The sequence below is a fragment of the Homo sapiens genome, chromosome 5 (assembly GCF_000001405.40).
Source record: "Homo sapiens chromosome 5, GRCh38.p14 Primary Assembly".
Taxonomy (NCBI): Eukaryota; Metazoa; Chordata; class Mammalia; order Primates; family Hominidae; genus Homo; species Homo sapiens.
Window position 1 is genome coordinate 40895181 of NC_000005.10, and position 27077 is coordinate 40922257.

At 39.1% G+C, this 27077-nt stretch overlaps 1 protein-coding gene and 1 pseudogene across 1 annotated transcript in view, besides 2 other annotated features; one reads left to right on the forward strand and one right to left on the reverse strand.

Annotated features, from left to right (window-relative positions):
* Positions 557 to 1206: an enhancer, noted in NCBI's record as "H3K27ac-H3K4me1 hESC enhancer chr5:40895839-40896488 (GRCh37/hg19 assembly coordinates)". NCBI's record gives its function as "activates a minimal SCP1, AML or CMV promoter by ChIP-STARR-seq in naive H9 embryonic stem cells {active_cell/tissue: H9 hESC(naive)}" and the evidence as "EXISTENCE:reporter gene assay evidence [ECO:0000049][PMID:30033119]".
* Positions 14317 to 27077, forward strand: part of C7 (complement C7) — a 75147-nt gene continuing 62386 nt past the window's right edge. Inside the window, exon 1 of the mRNA NM_000587.4 lies at positions 14317 to 14436. Within this exon, the coding sequence (NP_000578.2) occupies positions 14431 to 14436 (6 nt within the window). The 5' untranslated portion in view covers positions 14317 to 14430. The remainder of the gene's footprint in view (positions 14437 to 27077) is intronic.
* Positions 15887 to 15948, reverse strand: RNU7-161P (RNA, U7 small nuclear 161 pseudogene; annotated as a pseudogene).
* Positions 20991 to 21526: an enhancer, noted in NCBI's record as "OCT4-NANOG hESC enhancer chr5:40916273-40916808 (GRCh37/hg19 assembly coordinates)". NCBI's record gives its function as "activates a minimal SCP1, AML or CMV promoter by ChIP-STARR-seq in naive H9 embryonic stem cells {active_cell/tissue: H9 hESC(naive)}" and the evidence as "EXISTENCE:reporter gene assay evidence [ECO:0000049][PMID:30033119]".

Genomic DNA, 27077 nt, shown 5'->3' on the forward strand with positions numbered 1-27077 from the left:
GGACTATAGGCATGCACCACCACCATATCTGGCTTTTTAATTTTTTTTTACTTTTTGTAGAGATGAGGTCTCACTATGCTGTGCAGGCTGGTCTCAAACTCCTGGCCTTAAGCTATCCTCCTGTCTGGGTTTCCCAAAGTGCTGGCATTATAAGCATGAGCCACTGTGTTTGACTAATAAACTGTTTTGAGACGGAAGGAGTGAAGATGGCTGAATAGGAACAGCTCCGGTATGCAACTCCCAGCGTGATTGACACAGAAGACAGGTGATTTCTGCATTTCCAACAGAGGTACCTGGTTCATATCACTGGGATTGGTTGGACAATGGGTGCAGCCCAGGGAGGGCGAGCAGAAGCAGGGCTGGGTGTCGCCTCACCCAGGAAGTGCAAAGGGTTGGCGGATTTCCCTTTCCTAGCCAAGGGAAGCTGTGACAGACTACCTGGAAAAACAGGACACTCCCACCCAAATACTGCACTTTTCCCAAGGTCTTAGCAACTGGCAGACAAGGAGATTCTCTCCCGTGCCTGGCTCAGCCGGTCCCATGCCCACAGTTCCTTGCTCACTGCTAGTGCAGCAGTCTGAGATCGAACTGCGAGGTGGCAGCCTGGCTGGGGGAGGGGCGTCTGCCATTGCTGAAGCTTGAGTAGGTAAACAAAGTGGCCAGCAAGCTCAAACTGGGTGGAGCCCACCGCAGCTCAACAAGGCCTACTGCCTCTAGACTCCACCTCTGTGGGCAGGGCATAACTGAACAAAAGGCAGCAGACAACTTCTGCAGACAAATGTCCCTGTCTGACAGCTCTGAAGAGAGCAGTGGTTCTCCCAGCACAGTGTTTGAGCTCTGAGAATGGACAGACTGCCTCCTCAAGTGGGTCCCTGACCCCCATGTAGCCTAACTGGGAGACACCTCCCAGTAGGAGCTGACAGACACCTCATATAGGCAGCTGCCCCTCTGGGACAAAGCTTCCAGAGAAAGGACTGGGCAGCAATATTTGCTGTTCTGCAATATTTGCTGATCTGCAGCCTCCGCTGGTGATACCCAGGCAAACAGGGTCTGGCAAACTCCAACAGACCTGTAGCTGAGGGACCTGACTATTAGAAGGAAAACTAACAAACAGAAAAGAATAGCATCAACATCAACAAAAAGGTCATCTACACCAAAACCCCATCTGTAGGTCACCAACATCAAAGACCAAAGGTAGATAAAACCACAAAGATGGGGAGAAACCAGAGTAGAAAAGCTGAAAAATTCTAAAAATCAGAACGCCTCTTCTCCTCTAGAGGATCGCAGCTCCTCGCCACCAACGGAACAAAGCTGGATGGAGAATGACTTTGATGAGTTGACAGAAGTAGGCTTCAGAAGGTTAGTAATAACAAACTTCTCCGAGCTAAGGGAGGATGTTCGAACCCATTGCAAGGAAGCTAAAAACCTTGAAAAATGGTTAGATGAATGGCTAAGTAGAATAAACAGTGTAGAGAAGACCTTAAATGACGTGATGAAGCTGAAAACCATGGCACGAGAACTTTGTGACACATGCACAAGCTTCAATAGCCGATTTGATCAAGTGGAAGAAAGGGTATCAGTGATTGAAGATCAAATTGATGAAATAAAGTGAGAAGACAAGGTTATAGAAAAAACAGTAAAAAGAAATGAACAAAGCCTCCAAGAAATATGGGACTATGTGAAATGACCAAATCTACATTTGACTGGTGTACCTGAAAGTGATGGGGAGAATGGAACCAAGTTGGAAAACACTCTTCAGGATATTATCCAGGAGAACTTCCCCAACCTAGCAAGGCAGGCCAACATTCAAATTCAGGAAATACAGAGAACACCACAAAGATACTCCTCTAGAAGAGGAACCCCAAGACACAATTGTTAGATTCACCACGGTTGAAATGAAGGAAAAAGTGTTAAGGGCAGCCAGAGAGAAAGGTCAAGTTACCCACAAAGGGAAGCCCATTAGACTAACAGTGGATCTCTTGGCAGAAACCCAAGAAGCCAGAAGAGAGTGGGGGCCAATATTCAACATTGTTAAGGAAAAGAATTTTCAATCCGGAATTTCATATCCAGCCAAACTAAGCTTCGTAAGTGAAGGAGAAATAAAATCCTTTACAGACAAGCAAATGCTGAGAGATTTTGTCACCCCCAGGCCTGCCTTACAAGAGCTCCTGAAGGAAGCAGTAAACATGGAAAGAAACAACTGGTACCAGCCACTGTGAAAACATGCCAAATTGTAAAGACCATTGATGCTATCAAGAAATTGCCTCAATTAACAGGCAAAATAACCAGCTCACATCATAATGACAGGATCAAATTCACACATAACAATATTAACCTTAAATGTAATGGGCTAAATGCCCCAATTAAAAGACACAGACTGGCAAATTGGATCAAGAGTCAAGACCCATCAGTGTGCTGTATTCAGGAGACCCATCTCACATGCAAAGATGCACATAGGCTCAAAATAAAGGGATGGAGGAAGATCTACCAAGCAAATGGAAAGAAAAAAAAAGCAGGGATTGCAATCCTAGTCTCTGATAAAACAGAGTTTAAACCAACAGAGATCAAAAGAGACAAAGAAGGCATAATGGTAAAGGGATCAATTCAACAAGAAGAGCTAACTATCCTAAATATATATGCACCCAAGACAGGAGCACCCAGATTCATAAAGCAAGTCCTTACAGACCTACAAAGAGACTTAGACTCCCACACAATAATAATGGGAGACTTTAACACCCCTACTGTCAATATTAGACAGATCAATGCGACAGAATGTCAACAAGGATATCCAGGACTTGAACTCAGCTCTGCAACAAGCAGACCTAATAGACAGCTACAGAACTCTCCACTGCAAATCAACAGAATATACATTCTTCTTAGCACCACATTGCATTTTCTAAAATTGACCACATAATTGGAACTAAAGCACTCCTCAGCAAATGTAAAAGAACAGAAATCACAACAAACTGTCTCTCAGACCACAGTGCCATCAAATTAGAACTCAGGATTAAGAAACTCACTCAAATGCAAAAATAGGAAGCATTCCCTTTGAAAACCGGCACAAGACAAGGATTCCCTTTCTCACCACTCCTATTCAACATACTGTTGGAAGTTCTGGCCATGGCCAGGGCAATCAGGCAAGGGAAAGAAATAAAGAGTATTCAATTAGGAAATGAGGAAGTCAAATTGTCCCTGTTTGCAGACGACATGATTGTAATGGGTGCAGCACACCAACATGGCACATGTATACATATGTAACAAACCTGCACATTGTGCACATGTACCCTAGAACTTAAAGTGTAATAAAAAAATTTATATATATATATATATATATATATATATATATATATGAAAGAAAACCCCATCGTCTCAGCCCAAAATCTCCTTAAGCTGATGAGCAACTTCAGCAAAGTCTCAGGATACAAAATCAATGTGCATAAATCACAAGCATTCCTATACATCATTAACAGACAAACAGAGAGCCAAACCGTGAGTGAACTTCCATTCACAATTGCTACAAAGAGAATAAAATACCTAGTAATCCAACTTACAAGGGATGTGAAAGATCTCTTCAAGGAGAACTACAAACCACTGCTCAATGAAATAAAAGAGGACACAAACAAATGGAAGAATATGACATGCTCATGGATAGGAAGAATCAATATTGTGAAAATGGCCATACTGCCCAAAGTAATTTATAGATTCAATGCCATCCCCATCAACCTGCAAATTGACTTTCTTCACAGAATTGGAAAAAAATACTTTAAAGTTCATATGGAACCAAAAAAGAGCCCACATTGCCAAGATAATCCTAAGCCAAAAGAACAAAGCTGGAGGCATCATGCTACCTGACTTCAAACTATACTACAAGGCTACAGTGACCAAAACAGCATGGTACTGGTACCAAAACAGAGATATAGACCAATGGAACAGAACAGAGGCCTCAGAAATAACACCACACATCTACAACCATCTGATCTTTCACAAATCTGACAAAAACAAGAAATGGGGAAAGGATTCCCTATTTAATAAATGATGCTGGGAAAACTGGCTAGCCATATGTAGAAATCCGAAACTGGATCCCTTCCTTACACCTTATTCAAAAATTAATTCAAGATGGATTAAAGACTGAAATGTTAGACTTAAAACCATAAAAACCCTAGAAGAAAACCCAGGCAATACCATTCAGGACATAGGCATAGGCAAGGACATGATGACTAAAACACCAAAAGCAATGGCAACAAAAACCAAAATTGACAAATGGGATCTTATTAAACCAAAGAGCTTCTGCACACCAAAAGAAACTACCATCAGAGTGAACAGGCAACCTACAGAGTGGGAGAAAATTTTTGCAATCTACCCATCTGACAAAGGGCTAATATCCAGAATCTACAAAGAGCTCAAACAAATTTACAAGAAAAAAACAAACAACCCCATCAAAAAGTGGGCAAAGGATATGAACAGACACTTCTCAAAAGAAGACATTTATGCAGCCAACAGACACACGAAAAAACGCTCATCATCACTGGCCATCAGAGAAATGCAAATCAAAACCACAATGTGATACCATCTCATGCCAGTTAGAATGGCAATCATTAAAGTCAGGAAACAACAGATGCTGGAGAGGCTGTGGAGAAATAGGAACACTTTTACACTGTTGGTAGGAGTGTAAATTAGTTCAACCATTGTGGAAGACAATGTGGCGATTCCTCAAGGATCTAGAACTAGAATTACTGTTTGACCCAGCAATCCCATTACTGGGTATATACCCAAAGAATTATAAATCATGCTGCTATAAAGACACATGCACATGTATGTTTATTGCAGCACTATTCACAATAGCAAAGACTTGGAACCAACCCAAATGTCCATCAATGATAGACTGGATTAAGAAAATGTGGCACATATACACCATGGAATACTATGCAGCCATAAAAAAGGATGAGTTCGTGTCCTTTGCAGGGACATGGATGAAGCTGGAAACCATCATTCTGAGCAAACTATCACAAGAACAGAAAAAAAACACTGTATGTTCTCTCTAATAGGTGGGCATTGAACAATGAGATCACTTGGACACAGGGCAGGGAACATCCACACACCAGGGCCTGTTGGGGGGTAGGGGGATGGGGGAGGGATAGCATTAGGAGAAATCCCTAATATAAATGATGAGTTGATGGGTGCAGCAAACCAACATGGCACATGTTTACCTGTGTATCAAACCTGAATGTGGTGCACATGTACCCTAGAACTCAAAGTATAATAAGAAAAAAATAAACTGTTTTGATAAAAATTTCTCTTTGGTTCACATTTACTTATGCATATTTAAAAGAAACTCATTTATTGTTCATGAGTGTGGAGCTTATATGTGCTCAAGATGATGTACTATGGTTTTTATATATCTTGAATCTCATCAATCCTATAAAAAGTTTCATTCCCTTTGTTATGTAAGAAAATTGAGGCCTATGAGGATAATACAGATAGCAGATTGTGAACTCTAAATTTGAGACAAGATTTGTTTGATGCCTTTTTTGGCAAGCCACATTTTCTTTCCAGAAACAGGCCCAAATCAGTAGAAGATGAAAAGGAGAAAGAAGAGAATGAAACCAATTTCTTTGTGAGTCTGGGTAATTTATTACATTTCGTGTATATTTAATTACATAGCAGCAGTGATGTTTACTCATATGCTCACTTTGAGAGCTTGCATTTGGAAACTTGGTCACATAAATATCAAAGAAATAGATTGGTGGTGCACTAAAGTAAAGATCTATGAATTACTATATCTACCTTCCAGACCATCCTTTTGGTCCTGGTGACCATGAAGCATTTTAGTAAGATTGCTGTTACTTTTAGTGCTATGTGTATCCCTACAGTATCCCATGATTCATTCAAATAAACAAATGAACAAACAAGCAAACAAACAAAGGACAAAGAATATATTAGGACGCTTATTCTTTTTTTTTTTTTTTTTTGAGGTGGAGTCTCACTTTGTCACTCAGGCTGGAGTGTAGTGGTGTGATCTTGTCTCACTTCAACCTCCACCTCCTGGGTTTAAGCGATTCTCCTGCGTCAGCCTCCCAAGTCACTGGGACTAAAAGTGTGCACCACCACGTCTGGCTAATTTTTTTTTTGTATTTTTAGTGGAAATGGGGTTTCATCATGTCAGCTAGGCTAGTCTCAAACTCCTGACCTCAAGTGATTCTCCTGCTTTGGCCTCCCAAAGTGCTGGGTTTACAGGCATGAGCCACCACATCCAGCCAGGATGCTTATTGTTTTGTACTTTGAATTATAAAATAATAAAAGCTAACAAAATAAAATTAAGTAATTATATTTTTAAAAAATCAGAAATACATTCATTAATGTATTAAAACTATAAAACTAGTGGAAAGTAAAATTCTTAGTCCCACCTTTTTCTATTCATTCTGTTTCCATCTCTTCACCTAGTTTCCTTCCCACATTAATCTTCAGATAAGAATTTTTATTAGTTTCTTTGTGTATCCTATGAGAGTTTTTTCATGCAAATGCAAACAAATAGAATATATATTCTTATTCTCCTCCCTTCTTTTAACCCAAAATGCTATACTGTTCTGCACCTTTTTTTTTCACCTCTAGAGTATATTTTGTAGATCTTTCCATATCAGTGCATAGAGTGTTTCTTCCATTTATTTAGCTGAATAATATTCCATTTAATGTGTGTACATACTGTCGTTGGGTGCAGTGGCTCACGCCTATAATCCTAGCACGTTGTCAGGCCAAGACAGGTGGATTGCCTGAGCTCAGGAGAGCAAGACCAGCCTGGGTGACATGGTGAAACCCTGTCTCTCCTAAAAATACAAAAAAAATTAGCCAGGCATGGTGGCGCATGCCTGTAGTCCCAATTACTTGGGAGGCTGAGGCACAAGAATAGCTTGAACCCAGGATGTGGAAGTTACAGTGAGCCAAGATGGCGCCACTATACTCCAACCTTGGCAACAAAGCAAGTCTCACAAAAAAAACAAAAAAAGTGTGTATATGCTATACATTATTTAACCAATCCATCATTGATGACTATTCGGATTGTTTCACTGTTTTTTTTTGTTTGTTTGTTTGTTTTTGAGACGGAGTCTCACTTTGTTGCCCGGGCTAGAGTGCAGTGGTGCAATCTCAGCTCACTGCAACCTCCACCTCCCAGGTTCAAGCGATTCTACTGCCTCAGCCTCTCAAGTAGCTGGGACTATGGTGCATACCACCATGCCCGACTAATATTTGTATTTTTAGTAGAGACAGGGTTTCACTATGTTGGTCAGGCTGGTCTCGAACTCCTGACCTCAGGTGATCCACCCACCTTGGCCTCCCAAAGTGGTGGGATTACCGCTGTGAGCCACTGCGCCCGGCCCAATTTTTTGTTTGTTTGTTTGTTTGTTTGAGCCATGTTCTTACTTTGTTGCCCAGGCTGGAATGCAGTGGCACGATCATGGCTTACTGATGCCTCAATCTCTTGGGCTCATGTGACCCTCCCACCTCAGCCTCCTGAGTAGCTGGGACCAGAGGCATGCACCACCATGCATGGATAATTTTTAAAATTTTCTTGTAGATATGGGGTCTTGCCATGTTGCTCAGGGTGGTCTTGAATTCCTGGCCTCAAGCAATCCTGCTGCCTTGGCCTCCCAAAGTGCTGGGATTATAGGAGCAAGCCACTGTGCCCAGCTGGATTGTTTATGATAATTTGCATACTAGTTCATATTTATTGGAGTAAGCTCACTATATTCTGGGCATGATGCTATAATTGTTGTATTTGGATTATCTCATTTAATATAATACCCCTAGGGGTCAGATAATATGATTTCCACCTTTCAGATATGAAAACAGAAAGTCAGAGAGATGAACAAACCTGCCCAAGATTTGAACCCAGATTATCTGTTTTCAGAGCACATATTTGTATAAATGAAACACAAATTAGAGGCCCACAGCACTTTGGAAGGCCAAGGCAAGAGGTTCACTTGAACTCAGCAGTGTGAGGCCAACCTGGGCAACATGATGAAACCTTAGCTCTACAAAACATATAAAAATTAGCTGAACATGGTGGCATGTGCCTGTGGTCCCTGCTACTCAAGGGACGGCTAAGGTGGGAGGATCACCTGAGCTCAGGAGGTTGAGGCTGCAGTGAGCTGTGGTCACACCACTGCACTCCAGCCTGGGTGACAGAGCAAGACCCTGTCTCAAAAAAATAAAAAAATAAAAAAAACAAAACAAAAGAAATACAAATTAGTACTCATTTTGGTTTTAGAAAAATTTTCCTCCTAAGAAGTTTCTAGTTAGGTATTTGTGAATATTCTTCCCTGGTTACTAAGATTTTTTTTCACAAACATTTTAAGAGGTTGCACAATTCAGGATTTTACTTCTTTTTTTTTTTTTTTTTGAGACAGAGTCCCTCCCTGTCACCCAGGCTGGAGTGCAGTGGCACGATTTCGGCTCACTGCAGCCTCTGCCTCCAGGGTTCAAGCAGCTGTCCGACCTCAGCCTCCTGAGTAGCTGGGATTACAGGCATGTGCTACAGGTGTGCTACCACACCTAGCTAATTTTTGTATTTTTAGTAGAGATGGGGTTTTGCCATGTTGGCCAGGATGGTCTCGAACTCCTGACCTTGTGATCCACCCGCCTAGGATTTTACTTTTTTTAACCACATTGTTTATTCTTTCTTGGCCTGTGGAATATTTAACGATGAATCTGATATTAAAACATATCTGTTTAAAGATTGTTTAAAGAATTATAGCTTAAAATTAAGGGGTGGCCTGACATTTTCTGAGTGATTGATTTTTATTTTAGGTCTATTGCATGCTGAGCTCTTGGTATGAAAACAAAAACAACTTTCCGTTTAGGCACCACAAGTTTGAAGTGTAGATCAAATAAATGACCTTGTCCTTTTTTACCCTTCCTCCACAGGACTTTACATAAGGCAGTTACAGAACCACTGAAATCTTTGTATTTTATGTCTTCCTTCTCAGAGCTGTTTGACTTAATTCAAATTTAAACCAAATGAAATGTATCTTGTACTTGCAGGCTACTGCTACAATGTGCATTGCAATAACTGAAAAACCCAGATGCCATTCAGAAACCCAAACAAATCTGGGCCTTCTCCTAAATTTAGCAAATGCCTGTCGCTATTAAAAACCATAACGACAAAACTTCTTATCTCCTCGTGATTGTAATTTGATTCTTGCCATTTGCAGCCATCGGGGTCACCAGGGCAAAAGCTTGTCCAGTGTGGAAAAGTACAACGGCACCTGTCCAGAAGTCTGTCCAGAAGGGAAGTGTGAAACCTTGTATTTCCTAATCTATTTAAACCTTAAACAACTTTCCTATGAAGAACCGGATGCCAACAGAGAGTATTAATCTAGTGGCCTCACTTTAAATTAATGCACAGATCACAGCATTTAATGCAGTGCTTCCAGCAGAGATGGGCAGCATCTTATTATGTGTAATGATAAAGCATTTAATAATCATCATTTTACTGAAATCTTCCTTTGAATAAGGCATTGCTTGGCAGCCATTTTTCATTCTCAAACTGTTCACAGTGTGACACTTTAAATGGAAAAAGCAACACCACCTGGAGTACTTATTAGCTTAACAAGCACTTGCCTGGGAGCCTAGGAAGATTCACTGTGTTTCACTCCCTCCTGAGTGGTTTAACTCCAGAGCTTAATGGTATTCTTTGACTCTAGGGCCTGGAGCAGTCTGCCACTAGGGGATGCTCTTGCTTCTTCACTCCAACTCCTGGCCGGTTCAATTCTGACCTTATCAGCCTCAATACAAGAGAGGAGGAAAAAGGAGGCTTTTACTCTTCCCCAGTGAGTTTGTTCCTCTGAAACCCCCAGAGTCAGCTAAATCTGTTGGAACAATTCAGAGCAAAATGAAATGACTAGTAAATGAAATAGCTTCGTTAAAATGTTTTCAAATATCTCCCTGTGGTGAACCAGAATTGCTTCCTGATATCATCGGTGGAGTAATAGTTTCATTAGGGTTTGGGGATGTTAACAGTGTTTGAAGAGCTGCCAAGGGAGGTGAGGGCAAATGGGGAAGAGCTGGTGTCACAGGAGATGAGGAGAGGGCTGTGCCCTTATTGACCCTTCCCCAGTCTGGCAGAAATCTGCTTTATCCTTCTACTGATTTAGCTTTGGCTCAGACACCATTTATTTGCCAAAGCATGCCCATATACCAGTTTTGGGGTTTGTTAGAAATAAAAGTCCAGGGGGTCACATGAACTTGAGAAATTCTGGGTTGAAAAAGTTAAAAAAGTTTTACTTGTTACAGAACTTTCAGAACATTTAATTTACAATGCACTGTGCTTTGCAAATCCAAGCTGGGCATTTGCTGGGAGTAATTGTTGACTGGGTTCTTCATCTTGAAATTCTCCTGAATTGGCTTGATGTTGCACTGTTTTGGTTTTTCTTCTTTTTCTGTAACCTCTCCTTTTTGGGACTTTTTTTCTTCTTACTCCTGAACAGGGGCATTTCTTGTGGTTTTATGGTTCATTATGTTCAGTCTCTAGAAGATTCACTGAAGTCCATGATTTTAGTTAGATACCTCCATGCTAGCAGCTCCACCCATGTCCCCCTCCAAGAGACATAGGTGAAGCCTGTCTCTTCCCAAAGAGACCTCCATTATATGTTGGATGCTTTCCCCAAAGTAAAAATGTCCCCTCTCCAAAACCATCTCTTCCTTTTTGACTTCTAATTTTCTTCCTCCTTTAAATTTTTCTTAAATTCTTTCAATTCTCTGAGTCAATCAGACTTGAAACCATATTTAATCACTAAACCCTGTGAATTCTTCTGCCTTTTTTGTCTTTCCTTTTTTTTTTTTTTTTTTCCTGGGACAACGTCTTGCTCTGTTGCTCAGGCTGGAATGCAGTGGTGCCATCTTGGCTCACTGCGACCTCTGCCTCCCAGGTTCAAGTGATTCTCCTACCTCAGCCTCCCAAGTAGCTGGAATTACAGTTGTCCACCATGTTGTCCAGGGGTTGTCACCATGTTGGCCAGGCTGGTCTTGAAATCCTGACCTCTCCAGTGATTCACCTGCCTCGGCCTCCCAAAGTGCTGGGATTACAGGTGTGAGCCATCGTGCCCAGCCCCTTCTTTTTTTGTTGTTTCTGTTTTTGTTTTTGTTTTTGAAACAAGGCATTGCTCTGTCACCCAGGCTGGAGTGCAGTGACCTGCTCATAACTCACTGCAGCCTCAACCTTCTGGGCCACCTCAGCTTTCTGAGTAGTTGAGACTACAGGCATGTGCCATCATGCCCAGCTAATTTTTGTGTTTTTTGTAGAGACAGCTGTGTCAATCCCTTTTTAAATGAGGCCTTGATCCCCTTGTCTAAACTACTGAAATAAATTCCAAGTCACGCTTCCTGCTTCCTTTCCTTACCTATTCTATGTAGGCTGCACACAGCTACTGTTTCAATCAATCTAAAACACTGCTTTGATTCTTTCTTAAAAACTTCCAGTGGGTGAATTCTCAGTGACTCATTGTGTGAATAAAGTCCATACAACTTATGCTAGCAGTAAAACTTCCCACAGTGTTGCTCCCACCTGCATTTAAAGCCTTTGTGCTAATGGTTCCTCCATTAAAATTGCAGACAGAAGAAATGCTCTTGTGATGTTACAGATATGAAGGTAGGAGTGTGCAAGGCAATTGGGGAAAGGAAGTTTCTGTAACCCTTTCAGAATTGAATGATCTATGGGATACCTGAGCTGAACAATTCAAGTTCTAAATTACTATAAATATATCCAAATCATCCTCTAGATTAAGGATATTCTGTAAATGGGCTAATACGGTCCTTTATAGCATGTAAAGAACAAAAATAAGGAAGGATATAGCTTAAGGCTTCTACCTGTCAAAGCTGATAGCCTATCATATTACACATTTTAGAAAATATTGATCAAATTCAGGATGAAAAAATTAATACATGCATGTATATATAAATAAAAAGCTACTGTAGCAGATGCTGTTGGTACCCTACCCATATTCCTTCATCGCTCGCCTCTAAATGACAAAGGTAAACACCTGCAAATATTGCAAATGCTACAATTCCCTGCTTGAAAACCTTTACTTATGGCTGCAGGCGTGTGCTTAGCTTGCCCCCAGGGCAAGCTGGTAGTGCCAGAGAGCCAATGGGTTCAGAAGCTACCTTCATCATCAGCGATGGGTTTCCTTACCCCTTAATTGGACTAACTCTTTTTTTTTTTTTTTTTTTGGGGGACAGGCTCTCGCTCTGTCACCCAGGCTGCTCTTCAGCAGTGCAGTCTCTTCAGTGGTGCAATCTCACTTCACTGCTGCCTCTGCCTCCTGGGTTCCGGTGATTCTCGTGCCTCAGCCTCCTGAGTAGTTGGGATTACAGGCATGAACCACCATAACTGGCTTTTTTTTTTTTTTGTATTTTTAGTAGAGATGGGGCTTCACCATCATGGCTAGGCTGGTCTTGAACTCCTGACCTCAAGTGATCCACCCACCTCAGCCTCCCAAAGTGCTGGGATCACAGGTGTGAACCACCACACCTGGCTGGACTAACTCTTAATTGCAGAGTTCGTGTGCAATGTCTTTCAGAGTTCCTCATTAGAACTGAACTCAAATTGCCCACTGGAGTCTCTTGCTTGATAAAACACCCTTTATTGACTTTCTTTTCTCCCCAATCTCACTTTCCCACTTCCAGTGGTGCTTTCTAAGATTATCTCTTAAAACAAAAACAAAAACAAACTACTTGCAATTGAATTCTTGTTTCTGAATCTACTTCTGGGGGAACCCAAACTAAGAGAGCCGCTGAAATGGAATTGTATATTGAGAATTTAAGATGAGTCTATGGCATCTGGAATTTATGCAGTTGGAGCTGAATAAAAAATATTTCTTTCAGGAGTCAGGATCTTTGTCTCTGTGACAAAATTTCTTCCACACAAATCACTAAAGCTTTGAACAAAAGATGCGGAAGCTTTGTCTCTGGAAACCACCATTAATTTATGAGGGGAGGATAGGGGTTGTCTTTATTATTCCAGTGCTTTGGATATAGGAAGAAAAAGTCATTAAAGCTAGAAAATCTTCACTAATGGAATGTTTACTTATAAAATTATTCTTAACTCAAATTTTCTTTCCCGCTTAACATTTATTCTACCTCACTCATAATGCACTAGCAGCTAGTGTTAGAATATTTGGTCCAACAATACAAATAAAACTGTAGCTCAATTTTTTTTTTTTTTTTTTTTTTGAGATGGAATCTCACTCTGTCTCCCAGGCTGGAGTGCAGTGGTGCGATCTCAGCTCACTGCAACCTCCGCCTCCTGGGTTCAAGTGATTCTTCTCTCTCAGCCTCCTGAGTAGCTGGGACTACAAGTGCATGCTACCATGCCTGGCTAATTTTTTTGTGTTTTTAGTAGAGACGGGGTTTCACTGTATTGTCCAGGCTGGTCTCGAACTCCTGACCTCTTGGTCCGCTCGCCTTGGCCTCCCAAAGTGCTGGGATTACAGGCATGAGCCACCGCGCCTGGCCAACTGTAGCTCAGTTTCAATAGGAAATCTAAAATCTTGCAAAATAAGCAGCATTTTATTAAATGTATGAAGGTGATGTTGGGGACTTGCTAGAATCAATGCAAAGCTATGGGAAAATAAAGACCTGGTAGAATAAGACAAGATAAAAAGCAAAGGAGAGAAAATGGATGTGGATAATGACCCTGAGAAGAACTTTCCAACACAGTGATCTGATTATCAAAGGATTAAGTGAAGTTCTTGAGAAAATTAGTGATGTCCTCAAATATGTTTACAAAAATTGATATTCTTTCTGATTATTCTGTGAAAGTTAAGCATGAAGGGATGACTATTGGGTTGTATTAGGCTGTACTTTGGGGAAAAATTCTACTCCAGAACATTCTATTTAGATTTTGAGTGACAGAACTGCATTTAAATATTTTCTTTCATAAAATATTTAATCTCAAAGTCTGGCATATAACACCTTTTAAGAGAATCATGAAAACATCCACTTAGTTTAGTAGATTGAAACAAGAAGGAGGCTCATCCCTTGCCTTACAGAGTCTCCTTTGGTTGAAAATCACTTAAACATTGAACTGAGAACATTTGCTGTGTTTCCTGATTTATAGATATGTTTCTAAGAAACATATCTATAACTTCCAAACAGTCCCAGCTGGCTGTAGCTAAGGCTGTGTAATTGATAAGATGCATCTGGTTTCAAGGCACAGATTAAGTACAAGGTCAGGCTCTTGCTGTCGTTGGAGAATCCGGTTGGGGTAGGAGCTAAATCTCAGGACCACTTGCTCTATATATGAGTGCCAAGATAATCTAGAGCAGGGAGAGGCAGAGAGGCAGGCAGCCTGCTGGGCTCTTCCTGCTGTTGAAAACTTACCCGGCCCTTACAGAGGAAATCTTCCTCCTCTCTTCTGCCCTGAATGTTTTCCCAAACATGAAGGTAAGACAATAAATTCATTACTTTTGTAAATGAAGCTATCTTTTCAAATGAACGGGGGTAATATAAATGTAATTTAAACGAAGAGGTGTAATACCTAACTGAAAGACATCAAATAAATAGAAGGCCAGAGGAAAATACAGAAGAAAAAGACCTGGGGGTGATGTTTAGAAATCCTTATTTAAACATATTTAACAGTTCAGCCAAAGTGAATTCCTTTTTCTTATCTTGTGGTGAAATTATAGGTCCAGAGGTCTGGGAATCAGGAATTGGAGACAATGTTTATGAAAGTCCCGATAAAGTCATAAAGAAATACAATAGTACTATTGTTATTTCTTGGGAAAAACTTTCCTCTGGTGTATTTTTTTTTTTTTTTTTTGCTTGTTTGGATTAGGAGCCATGCAGTAGGGTCCTGCGATTTATCTAAGAGCTAATAGAAAAGCAAATTTGCAGGCTTGGAACTTGAGAATTTGAAATCCTGGATGAAAGAGTCAGCATTGTGAGAATAGAAGATATGAGTAGATGGAATAAAACTAAAGGTCTACCAAGTATACATGTTGGCCCAATGCAAAAAGGCCAAATATTAAAAAACAAAACAAAACACAACCAAAAAGCTATTCAACAAAAGATAAGACCAAAGATAGAAATCGCTATCATAGACTAAATCTCTGGAATGCAAAAATAAGTTGAGATTGCTATTCAAATTTTATTATTGTAAATTTTGGTATTTAAACTTTAAAAATGTTGCATTGTAAGACTGTAGGAATAATTTCACAGATCTGTCAGTGGCTAGATTGCTTCCATAGTCACTGTATTGTCCATTGGGGCACCGAATCCAAGCTCGCTCATTATTGGGGTTAGAGGAGGAGCAAGATATGGATCTTGATTAAGCCATGCCTTCTGTGAAATTAAATAATTAAAATTAAACACAAATAACAAAGTTAATTTGTTTAAAGTTATGATGGGCAGTCATAAAAAAGAATGAAATCATGTCCTTTGCAGCAACATGGAGGCAGATAGAGGTCATTATCCTAAGAAAATTAACGCAGGAACAGACAATCAAATACCCCATGTTCTTAATTTTTAAGTGGGAGCTAAATATTGGGTACTCATGGGCATAAAGATGGCAACACTAGACACTGCACTCCAGCCTGGGCAATAAGGTGAGACTCTCTCTCAAAAAAAAAAAAAACAAAAAAAAAACAAGAAAAGAAAATGATGCTCTTCTGAAAGTTATCTAGCCAAAATGTTTTTTCCTAATATTTGTGTTAACTATTAATCTTTTACTTTATTTTACAATAAGAAATCTTAATAATTGCTTTGTGCTTAAAAACATGTTTACAATCATTATTATAATATTTTACTGCTGTAATAATAAATATACTTCTATCCTTTAATTAGTTGACAAAATATCAACAAATAAAGCAATTAATTTTTTAAAAATTTTACATATAGGGGCTTTCCAGCAAAAATTGGGAAGCCTGATAGACAAGTTCTAAAACAACTGTAACACTAAAGCAATTATTTCACTCCAAGTCGCATGTAGAGTTCTTACCTGTATTTGAAAGTGGACATTCATATTTTTACAGTAAACCTGAAGGACATGCTTTGGTGATATGTGACAAAGAAGGGACACTTGTGAAAGCCTTGGGCTATCAAGAAGCTAGAAATGGTTTCTATGTCAGACTTTTTAAGAGGAAGCAATGTTTTGGCCCCACAGCCCCCACGTGAACTAAATTCAGAGAGACAGTCACAGGATTCCCTTTGGTTCTCTCTGTGTTCTTGGATAGGAAATAACTTGGATCTGAGGTGTTGGAGAAGGATGTCAGGGACAAGGGACTTCCCTCGGAGCTGGCTGTGGCCCAGCCATTTGTTCCGTCCCTCCAGGAGAGAGCTGAGCTTGGGGCCTGTGAATCTAGGGAATGGTCGTCACAGTGCCCAAGCACAGTGATGGTCAAGCACAGTAATGTCTCAAATCAGGATTGTAGCTGGGACATACTGGAAGAAGGAGGTAGAGCTAATGCTCATTCATTGATGATAAAGAGGAGAAGATAATTCAGGGGAATGTAGTTCCAGCTTAGCTACATTGACACAGAACAAAAATACCACACACTTTTTCTTTCTTTCTTTTTTTTTTTTTTTTGAGACAAAGTCTCACTCTGTTGCCCAGGCTGGAGTGCAGAGGTACGATCTCTGCTCACTCCAACTTCCGCCTCCTGGGTTCAAGCGATTCTTCTGCCTCAGCCTCCTGAGTAGCTGGGGCTACAGGCGTGCGCCACCATGCCTTGCTAATTTTTGTATTTTTTTTTTTTTTTTAGTAAAGATGGGGTTTCACCATATTGGCCAGGCTGGTCTTGAACTCCTGACCTCATGATCCACCTGCCTTGGCCTCCCAAAGTGCTGGGATTACAGGCATGAACCACCACGCCCGGCCCCACATACTTCTTCAACCAAGCAATTCTTTTATAGAGTCAGTTCAGATGTATGTCTATCACTGTCATTCACATGATTTATTTGTGTTTGTTCTATCTCTCTTGTTCATTTATAAGGTATTTTTTCCAAAGGTAATTATCCTAAGGCTAGCCAAATTTCAAGAAATGCTTTTGGTTAGTAGATTCACTTTGTATAACATGAACAGAACTGGTCTTGTAATAAGCAGACCTTGATGGGTTATAATGAGTATGTATATGAAGAAGGTGATGACAAAGGCATCCATGATGATAAAAAGTATATTTCCTAAAATTTCATTGAAATTCTTTATTTTAAAAAATGCTTTTAAATTTGAGACAAGATCTTGCTCTGTTGCCCTGGCTGGAGTGTAGTGGTACAATTATGGCTCACTGCAGCTGCTACATCCTGGGCTCAAGTGATCCTCCCACCTTAGTCTTCTGAGTAGCTGGGACTACAGGTGCCCGCCACCATGCCTGGCTAATTTTTGTATTTTTTGTTGCAACAGGCTGGCCTCAAATTCCTGGGCTCAAGTGATCCTACCACTTTGTCCTCCCCAAATGCCAGGATTACAGGCATGAGCCACCAAACCTGGCTGAAATTATTTTAAAACACCTGTGACAGAATGTTAGAAATAATTATTTTCATTATCCACATTTTGGCTGAGAGTCAAAGGCCAAGAACAAGTACTCAAGATTTTTTGAAATTTTATGGTTTTTTTTGGAAATTTTATTCATTTAGTTATTTTATTTGTATACATTTAAGGGGTACAAGTGCAATTTTGTTACATGGATATATTGGGTAGTGTTGAAGTCTGGGCTTTCAGTGTATCTATCTTCCAAATAATGTACATTGTACCCATTAAGTAATTTCTCATCACTCTTCCCCTTTCTATCCCCAACTCTTCTGAGTCTCCAATGTCTATTATTCCATACTTTTTGTCCATGTGTACACATTATTTAGCTCCTACTTGTAAGTGAGAATATGAGGTACTTGATTTTATGTTTCTAAGTTGTTTCACTTAATATAATGGCCTCTAGTTCCATCCATGCTGCTGCAAAAGACATGGTTTCATTCTTTTTTAAAAAATTGAACAGTATTTCATTGTGTATATACTGCATTTTCTTTATCCAATCATCTGTTGTTGGACACTTAGGTTGCTTCTATATCTTTGCTATTGTGAATAGTGTTGAGATAAACATACGAGTACGGGTATCTTTCTGATATAATGATTTCTTTTCCTTTGGGTAGATACCCAGTAGTGGGATTGATGGATCCGATGGTAGTTCAATTTTTAGTTCTTTGAGAAATCTCCATACTGTTTTTTATGGAAGTTGTACTAATTTACATTCCCACCAATAGTATATATTGGTGGGAATATATACTATTCCCTATTCTCACTTATCTCTGCATTCCTACCAACAACTGTTATTTTTTGACATTTTTAAAGAGAGATGGTGTCTTGCTCTGTTATCCAGGCTGGAGAGTAATGGTGCAATCATAGCTCACTGCACCTTTGAATTCCTGGGCTCAAGTGATCCTCCTGCTTCAGCCTCCTGAGTAGCTGGCACTATCTGGGCATGTGCCACCATGTGCAAATATATATATATGTATATTTTGTATATTTATATATTTTAAGATGGAGTCTTGCTCTGTCACCCAGGCTGGAGTGCAGTGGCATGATCTCGGCTCACTGTAATCTCCACCTCCTGGGTTCAAGCGATTCTCCTGCCTCAGCCTCCCAAGTAGCTGAGACTACAGGTGCGTGCCAACATGCCTGGTTAATTTTTTGTATTTTTAGTAGAGATGGGGTTTTACCGTGTTAGTCAGGATGGTCTTGATCTCCTGACCTCATGATTTGCCCGCCTCAGCCTCCCAAAGTGTTGGGATTACAGGCGTGAGTCACTGCGTCCGACCGCCCCAAATAATTTTTTAAGAATTATTTTTTGTAGAGACAGAGTCTTACTATGTTGCCTAGGCTGGTCTCAAACTTCTGGCTTCAAGCAATCCTCCTGCCTTGTCCTCTCAAAGTGTTGGGATTACAGGTGTGAGCCATCACATTCAGCCAGTTTTTTTACTTTTTAATAGTAGCCATTCTGACTGTGTAAGATGATATCTCCTTGTGGTTTTAATTTAATTCTCTGATGATTAGTGATGTTGAGCACATTTTCATATGCTTGTGAGCCATTTGTATGTCTTTGAAAAATGTCTATTCATGTCCTTTGCCCACTTTTTAATGTTTTTGTTGTTGTTGTTTTTGTTGTTATCATTGTTTGAGTTTCTTGTAGATTCTGGATATTAGTTCTCTGTCAGATGCATAATTTGCAGATATTTCCTCCCATTCTGTAGGTTGTCTGTTCACGCTGTTGATTATTTCTTTTGTTGTAGAGAAGCTTTTAATTTTAATTAAGTTCCATTTGTCTAATCTTGTTTTTGTTGCTTGTGCTTTTGAGGCCTTAGTTATGAATTCTTGGCTTAGACCAATGTCCAGAAGAGTTTTCCCTAGGTTTTCTTCTAGTGTTTTTATAGTTTCAGGTCTTACATTTAAGTTTTCAATCCATGTTGAGTTGATTTTTGTATAAGGTGAGAGACAGGAGGACCTTCACATTTTAAAGTGAGATGCTAGACATTCTATGCAATATTACAAAGAGAGTATTCCCAAATCTGTTTGGTAACCCTTGGGCCATCCCTATTCTCAAGAGAATACAAGATTGTGCATCGGAGATATAGGAAATGCTACCCTATGCACATTTGAGAAAATGTAAAGGTACAGACCTCCTTTAGCAGAGTAAATAAACCCAGCAGTATCAGTTACAGCGCGGACATTCAGAGTTTGGCAGGACACGGATGTGTGCAGGGATCCCATGGCCCGCATATGGATGGTTAAAAGGGAACCAGATTTGGACTGTCAGAGACACTGCCTGAGAGAGTGCTTGACTGCAGGATGAAGCAACCCCAAGAAATAGCATCAGTTTGGAAAGGACCCCCAGGAAGCAGGCATGGGTGAGAATCGAAAGTGATTAACAAAGGGATGAATCATTTGTGCCAGAGTACAGTGGCTACAGAGTAGTAGGAAGACGTCCAAAGAACCACAAAAACACTGGGAGAGATAAAGAATCAGCAGTCAAACGTCTAACACATTGATTTGCCATCACCAGACTCCAACTGGATCAGTCAAGCAAGATTCTGTTTTACTCTTGTCTCTCTCATTCCTGTTGCTCTGATTTTGGAGAGGAAAGAGGCAGCTTGGGGAGGTGGGGAAGAGGAGTCAGGTGGCGCAATTTTGAAGTGGACCCACTCCTCCCTCATTACAAGCACTCAGAAACTGAAAGTAAGAGAGACAGATTTAAAATTGGAGGATAAATTGAAGTTTGAATATTATAATAGATTGTTTTCTGAAAATGTGACTAGTGGTTAATGCCTAAAAATGACTAGTAAAGCTGTGAGATAGGCTTTCCCAGGGACAAGACAAAATGAGCTGACACAGCACGGAGGAAAGCCACATTATTGGAAAAGAAAAAACACACCCCACATAGCTTATAATTTAAAACAAAAACGTCTTAAAAACTTATACGATCCACATGTTTGTTGAAGTCAGAAAAGTATTCATAGTCTCCCCCAAATAACCTCCCCCAACATTGTTCACAGTTTCCCAACTCCTTGGCACCTTTTCACCCTTTCAGATATGCTAATCAGCACAATAGGCTTAAACATTTTTAGAACTCTAACAGCCAGAAGCAGGCAGGCAGAATTTTACAACTGAAAAAAAGATACCTAATAAGAGAATGGGTTATCTAAGAAGGATAGTGGAAAGATCCAGAAAATAATGTTAAGAAGACTTTTCATAGGTACATTGAGAAAAAGAGTTTTGGGGAGTTCAGGAAGAAGAGAGAAAATATTGGGCTATTAAAATGTGAGATGATTTTAAAGTCCTTTATCCAGAGTTATAAATTGGATGCATTTGATATTCTTAGAGAATCAGTAAAGATTTGAATTGTATCTTCTCCATCACCTTCAGCTATCAGTTAAAGTAGGAAAATACATACAGTTAAAGTAGGAAAATATATAATAGAAACTACCTATAATTTGACAACCAGAAATAAACTATTATGCTTTATTATATTTCTTTCTAGATTTTGTTTTTCAATGCACATTTGATTTTTCAAACAAAATGTAATCACATTTTATGTACAATTTTGTAACCTATCAGATCCTCTGTATTTATTTAGGCTTGTGCTATCACATAAAGATGATCATAAAAGGCCTCAGGAGTGTTTTAAACATCAAACGGACCACCCACAGTACTAAAGAATAAGATGAGAGTCACTGCCCCCTGCCTACTGCTGTGCTTCAACCTTGATTACCAACTTAGGAAGCTTGGTTTCTTTTTAAAATCAGCCATTTGCACTGCTACTTCATTCAGGTTTTCTCTCCTCTTGGTATCCCTCCGGAGTGCTGTAGTCAGAGAGAACCGGAGTGGAATAAGGGATTAAAAGATGATGGGACCTTAAGGAAATGCTCGAAACCATTTAAGTCTACTGAGTATTTTCAATTTGTGTGTCCATGGCATCACCCAACCCTTACTTGTCTTTAGAGAATTCAGCGGTAGGAGATAGAGTTTGACAGGATTGTACCAAATTTTTATTTTTTTTTTAAAAAAGCATTTATTTATCTTTGTAATTTATTTCTTTTAACTGACAAATAAAAATTGTGTCTATTTATTGTGCACAACATGATGTTATAAAATATGTATATATTGTAGAATGGCTCAATTGAGCTAATTAACCATATGCATTACCTCCCATACTTTTGTAGGGAGAATACTTAAAATCTACTCTCTTAGGAGTTTTTAAGAATATAATACATTGTTCTAGAGCAGCCTGGCCAACATAGTGAAACCCAGTCTCTACTAAAAATTCAAAAATTAGCCAGGCATGTTGGCGCTCACCTGTAATCCCAGCTACTTGGGAGGCTGAGGCAAGAGAATCACTTGAATCTGGGAGGCAGAGGTTGCAGTGAGCCAAGACTGTGCCAATGCACTCCAGCCTGAGTGACAGAGCGAGACTCCATCTCAAAAAAAAAAAAAAGAAAAAGAATATAATATATTGGTATTAAGTAAGTCACCATTTTGTATGATAGATCTCTTGAACTTATTCCTTCTATGTAACTGAAGTTTTGTAACCTTTGACCAACATCTCTTCAACAATCCCCACCCTGCCCCCATGGCCCTTGGTAACCATTTTACTCTTTACTTATTAGACTTCAACATTTTTAGATTCCAAATATAAGTATTTTTCTAGAAAGAAAAATACTGAATGTTTTATTTCTGCTTGTTTTATTTCACTTAACATAATGTTATCTGGGTTAATCCATGTTGTCACAAATGACAGAATTTTCTTCTTTTTTTAAGGCCAAGTACTATTTCATTGTGTCTCTTTACCACATTTTCTTTATCCCCTTATCCTTTGATGGACACTTAGGTTGGTTCTGTATCTTGGCTATTGTAAATAATGCAGCAATGAACATGGGAGTGCACATTTCTCTTTGATATACTGATTTCATTTACTTTGGCTATATACCCTGTAGGGGATTGCTGAATCATATGCTTGTTCTATTTTTAATTTTTTGAAGATCCTTCAAACTTCTATTTAAAATAGAAACTTAAAAAGATAAGCAGAGTCACTTAGCCTTCTCCATGGTTCTTTCACTTTTTATACTGCCAAGTCACAAATCTTGACTTGTACAAATGTAATAGTTTTCAAATCATTTAAGAAATGTAAGCTAGAACTATTAATGACAACTATAGTAACACTAAAATAACTTTTCAAAGGATACACATGATGTAAATTCTGACATCAAAAAAATATAAACTGTTTGACGGGAGAGTAAAAATGTAGAGTTGTATGCAAAGTTAAGTTGTAATCACCTTGAAATAAGCTGTTGTGATTATAAGATGTTCTCTGGAAGCCTCATAATAAGCACAAAGCAAAAATCTTTAGTAGAAGCACAAAACAGAAATAGTATTCAAAGAATACCACTATTGAAAACTGCGAAACCACAAAGACAACAAGACAGAAAGAAAGAAAAATGTATCTTCCAGCCTGGGCAACATAGGGTGGCCCTATCTCTACAATAACTTCAAAAAAAATTAGCTGGATGTGGTGGCACGTACCTGTGGTCCCAGCTACTCACAAAGGCTGAGGTGGGAGCATCATTTGAGCCTGGGAGGTCGAGGGTGCAGTGAGCTGTGATCACACTACCGCACTCCAGCCTGGGCAAGAGAGGCCCTATCTCCAAAAAAAAAGTATCTACAATACCACAACAACAACAACAAGAAAAACAACAACAACAACATAACAAAATGGCAGTAGTAAGTCCTTATCTATCAATAATTACCTTGAATGTAAATGAATTAAGTTCTCCAGTAAAAAGATATAGAGTAAGTGAATGAATAAAAAAACAAGAGCCAACTATACGTTACCTGCAGGAAACTCACCTCACTTTTAAGGGCACACAGATTGAAAATTAGGCAATGGAAGAAAGATATTCCACATCAATAGAAACCAAAAGAAAGCAGGGATAACTATACTTATATAAGACAAAATAGACTTAAAGTCAAAAACTGTAAAAAAAAAAAGTAAGGACATTATATGATGATAAAGGAGTCAACTCATCAAGAGGGTATAACAATTGTAAATATATATGCACCCAACTTCAGAGAACCTAAATATATAAAATAAATATTAAGGATATGATGGAAGAGACAGATTGCAATACAATTATAGTAGGGTATTTCAATACGCCACTTTCAACAATGAAAGATAATCCAGAAAATTAGTAAGAAAACATTGGATTTGAAAATCGCTTTAGACCTAATGAATCTAACAGACACACACACACACACACACACACACACACACACACACACACAGAACATTCCATCCAACAGCAACAGAATGCACATTCTTCTCAAGTGCACACAGAACTTTCTCCAGGACAGATAACATTTTAGGGGGAAAAACAAGCTTCAGCAAATTTAAGAAGATTGAAATTATATCAAGTATCTTTTTTTTTTTTTTTGAGTTGGAGTCTTGCTCTGTCACCCAGCCTGTAGTGCAGTGGTCTGATCTCAGCTCACTACAACCTCCACCTCCCAGGCTCAAGTGATTCTCCCACCTCATCCCTTCCGAGCAGCTGGGACTACAGGCGTGCACCACCACATCCAGTTAATTTTTGTATTTTTAGTAGAGACGGGGTTTCACCATGTTGGCCAGGCTGGACTCAAACTCCTAACCTCAAGTGATCTGCCCACCTTGGCCTCCCAAAGTGCTGGGATTACAGGTGTGAGCCACCACAACTGGCCTCAAGTATCTTTTCTGACCACAGTGATATGACACTAGAAATCAATTATGGGAGGAAGCTAGGTGTCATGTTATGCACCTGTAGTCCCAGCTAATTGGAAAGCTGAGGTGGGAGGATTGCTTAAGTCCAGGAGTTCAAGGCTGCAGTAGCTATGACTGTGCGAGTGCACTCCAGCCTGGGTGACAGAAAAAGACCCTGTCTCTAAAAATAAATAAATAAAAATAAATGAATGAATATAGGGGGAATTTTGAAAAATCCACAAATATATGGAAATTAGCATGCTCCTCAACAACCAATAGGTCAATGAAATTAAAAGGGAAATTAAAAATCTTTAGATAACAAGATAAAAATCTTGTTATCTTAAGATAAACAAAAATGGAAACACAACATAGCAAACATATGGGATACAGCAAAAACAGTTCAAAGAGGAACGTTTATAACAATAAATGTCTACATCAAAGAGAAGAAAGATTTAAAATAAATAAGCTAATGTCATACCTCAAGGAAACAGAAAAAGAAGAATAAACTAAGCCAAAGTTAGCATAAGAAAGGAAATAATAAAAATCAGAGCAGAAATAAATGAAATAGAGACTAGAAAAACAATACAAAAGATAGATAAAATAAGTTCTTTTTTGAAAAGATGAACAAATTTGACAAACTAGATTAATTTAAAAAAAAGAAGATTCATAATACCACAAAAATACAAAAGATCATCAGGGACTATCATCAACAATTATACATCAACAAATTGGATAACTAAGAAGAAGTGGTTAAATTCTTCTGTTCATTTAGGTCCTGTAAAGTGTTTCTGTAAAGTGTTGTTCAAGTTGAATGTTTTCTTATTAATTTTCTGTCTGGATGATCTTCCAGCATTGAAAGTGAGGTATGGAAGTTTTCTACTGTTACATTGCAATCCATCAGATCCTGTGGATCTGAAGAAAGAGATGGGTTGCAATACAATATTTACATATTGTATAAATATAAATATCTGTTTTATATGTTTAGGTGCTCCAAAGCATACAACATACAAAGACTGAATCATAAAGAAATGGAAAATCTGAACATACCAATAATGAGTAAAAAGATTGAATCTGTAATAAAAGTTCTCCCATTAAAAAAAAAAAAAAAAAAGCAGAGGACTTGATGGCTTCATGGCTGAATTCTACCAAACATTTATTTTTTATTTTTCCTCACTGTCACCATTTTTATTCAATATAATACTGAAAGTCCTAACGATAGCAATTAGGCAAGACAACAAAATAAATGGCATTCAAATTTAAAGGGAAGAGGTCAAGTTATTCTTGCTTTTAAACAACATGAACTTATATTTAGAAAAAAATGTAGGCTGGGCATGGTGGCTCATGCCCATAATCCCAGCACTTTGGGAGGCCAAGGAGGGTGGATCACCTGAGGTTAGGAGTTTGAGACCAGCCTGCCCAACATGGGGAAACCCCATCTCTACTAAAAATACAAAACTTCACTGGGCGTGGTGGTGCACGCCTATAATCTCAGCTACTCAGGAGGCTGAGGCAGGAGAATTGCTTGAACTTGGGAGGCTGAGGTTGCAGTTAGCCAAAATGATGCCACTGCACTTCAGCCTGGGCGACAGAGCAAGACTCTGTCTCCAAAAAAAAAAAAAAATGAAAGACTACACTAAATAAATCTTAGCAGTGATAAATTAATTCAGTAAATTTGCAGGCTACCAAATTAACATGCAAAAATCAGCAGCATTCCTACATGCTAACAGAGATGGTTCTGAAAAGAAAATCAAGAAATAAATTCCATTTATAAAAGCTATAAAATAAAATACCAAGGAATAAATTTAATCAAAGAAGTTAAAGATTCTACAAAAAATACTATAAAACACTGATGAACGTAATTTAAGAGAACACAAAAAAGGAAAGATATCCCATGCTCATGGATTGGAAAAATTAATACCATTAAAATATCTATACTCCCCAAAGTGATCTACAGATTCAATGTAATCTCTATCAAGATACCAATGAAATTATTCACAGACATAGAAAAAATTCTAAAAATTTATGAAACAGCAAAAGACTCCAAGTAGCTAAAGAAATTCTGAATAATAACAGTGCTGGAGGTATCACACTACCTGCTTTTAAATTATACTACAAAGCTACAACAAAAGTAGATTATTAAAAAAAACAAAAGTAGTTTATACAAAAAAAAAAAGTAGTATGCTAACAAAAATAGCATACTACTGTCCTAAAAACAGACACATAGATGGCTGAACAGGATAGAGAACCAAGAAATAAATTCACGTATTTACAACCAACTCATTTCTGACAAAAGTGGTAAGAACATACATTGGGCTGGGCATGGTGGCTTATGCCTGTAATCCCAGCACTTTGGAAGGCCGAGGTGGGTGGATCACGAGGTTAGGAGTTCGAGACCAGCCTGACCAACATGGTGAAACCCCGTCTCTACTAAAAAAAATACAATAATCAGCCAGGCGTGGTGGTGCGCAACTGTAATCCCAGCTACTCAGGAGACTGAGGCAGGAGAATGGCTTGAACCTGTGAGGTGGAAGTTGCAGTGAGCTAAGAACATGCCATTGCACTCCAGCCTGGGTGACAGAGCAAGACTCTGTCTCAAAAACAAACAAACAAACAAACAAACAAACAAAAACAACAACAAAAAATACATTGGAGGCCATGTGCAGTGGCTCATGCCTGTAATCCCAGCACTTTGGGAGGCTGAGGTGGGTAGATCACAAGGTCAGGAGTTCAAGACCAGCCTGGCCAACATAGTGAAAGCCCATCTCTACTAAAAATACGAAAATTAGCCAGGTATGGTGGCACACACCTGTAGTC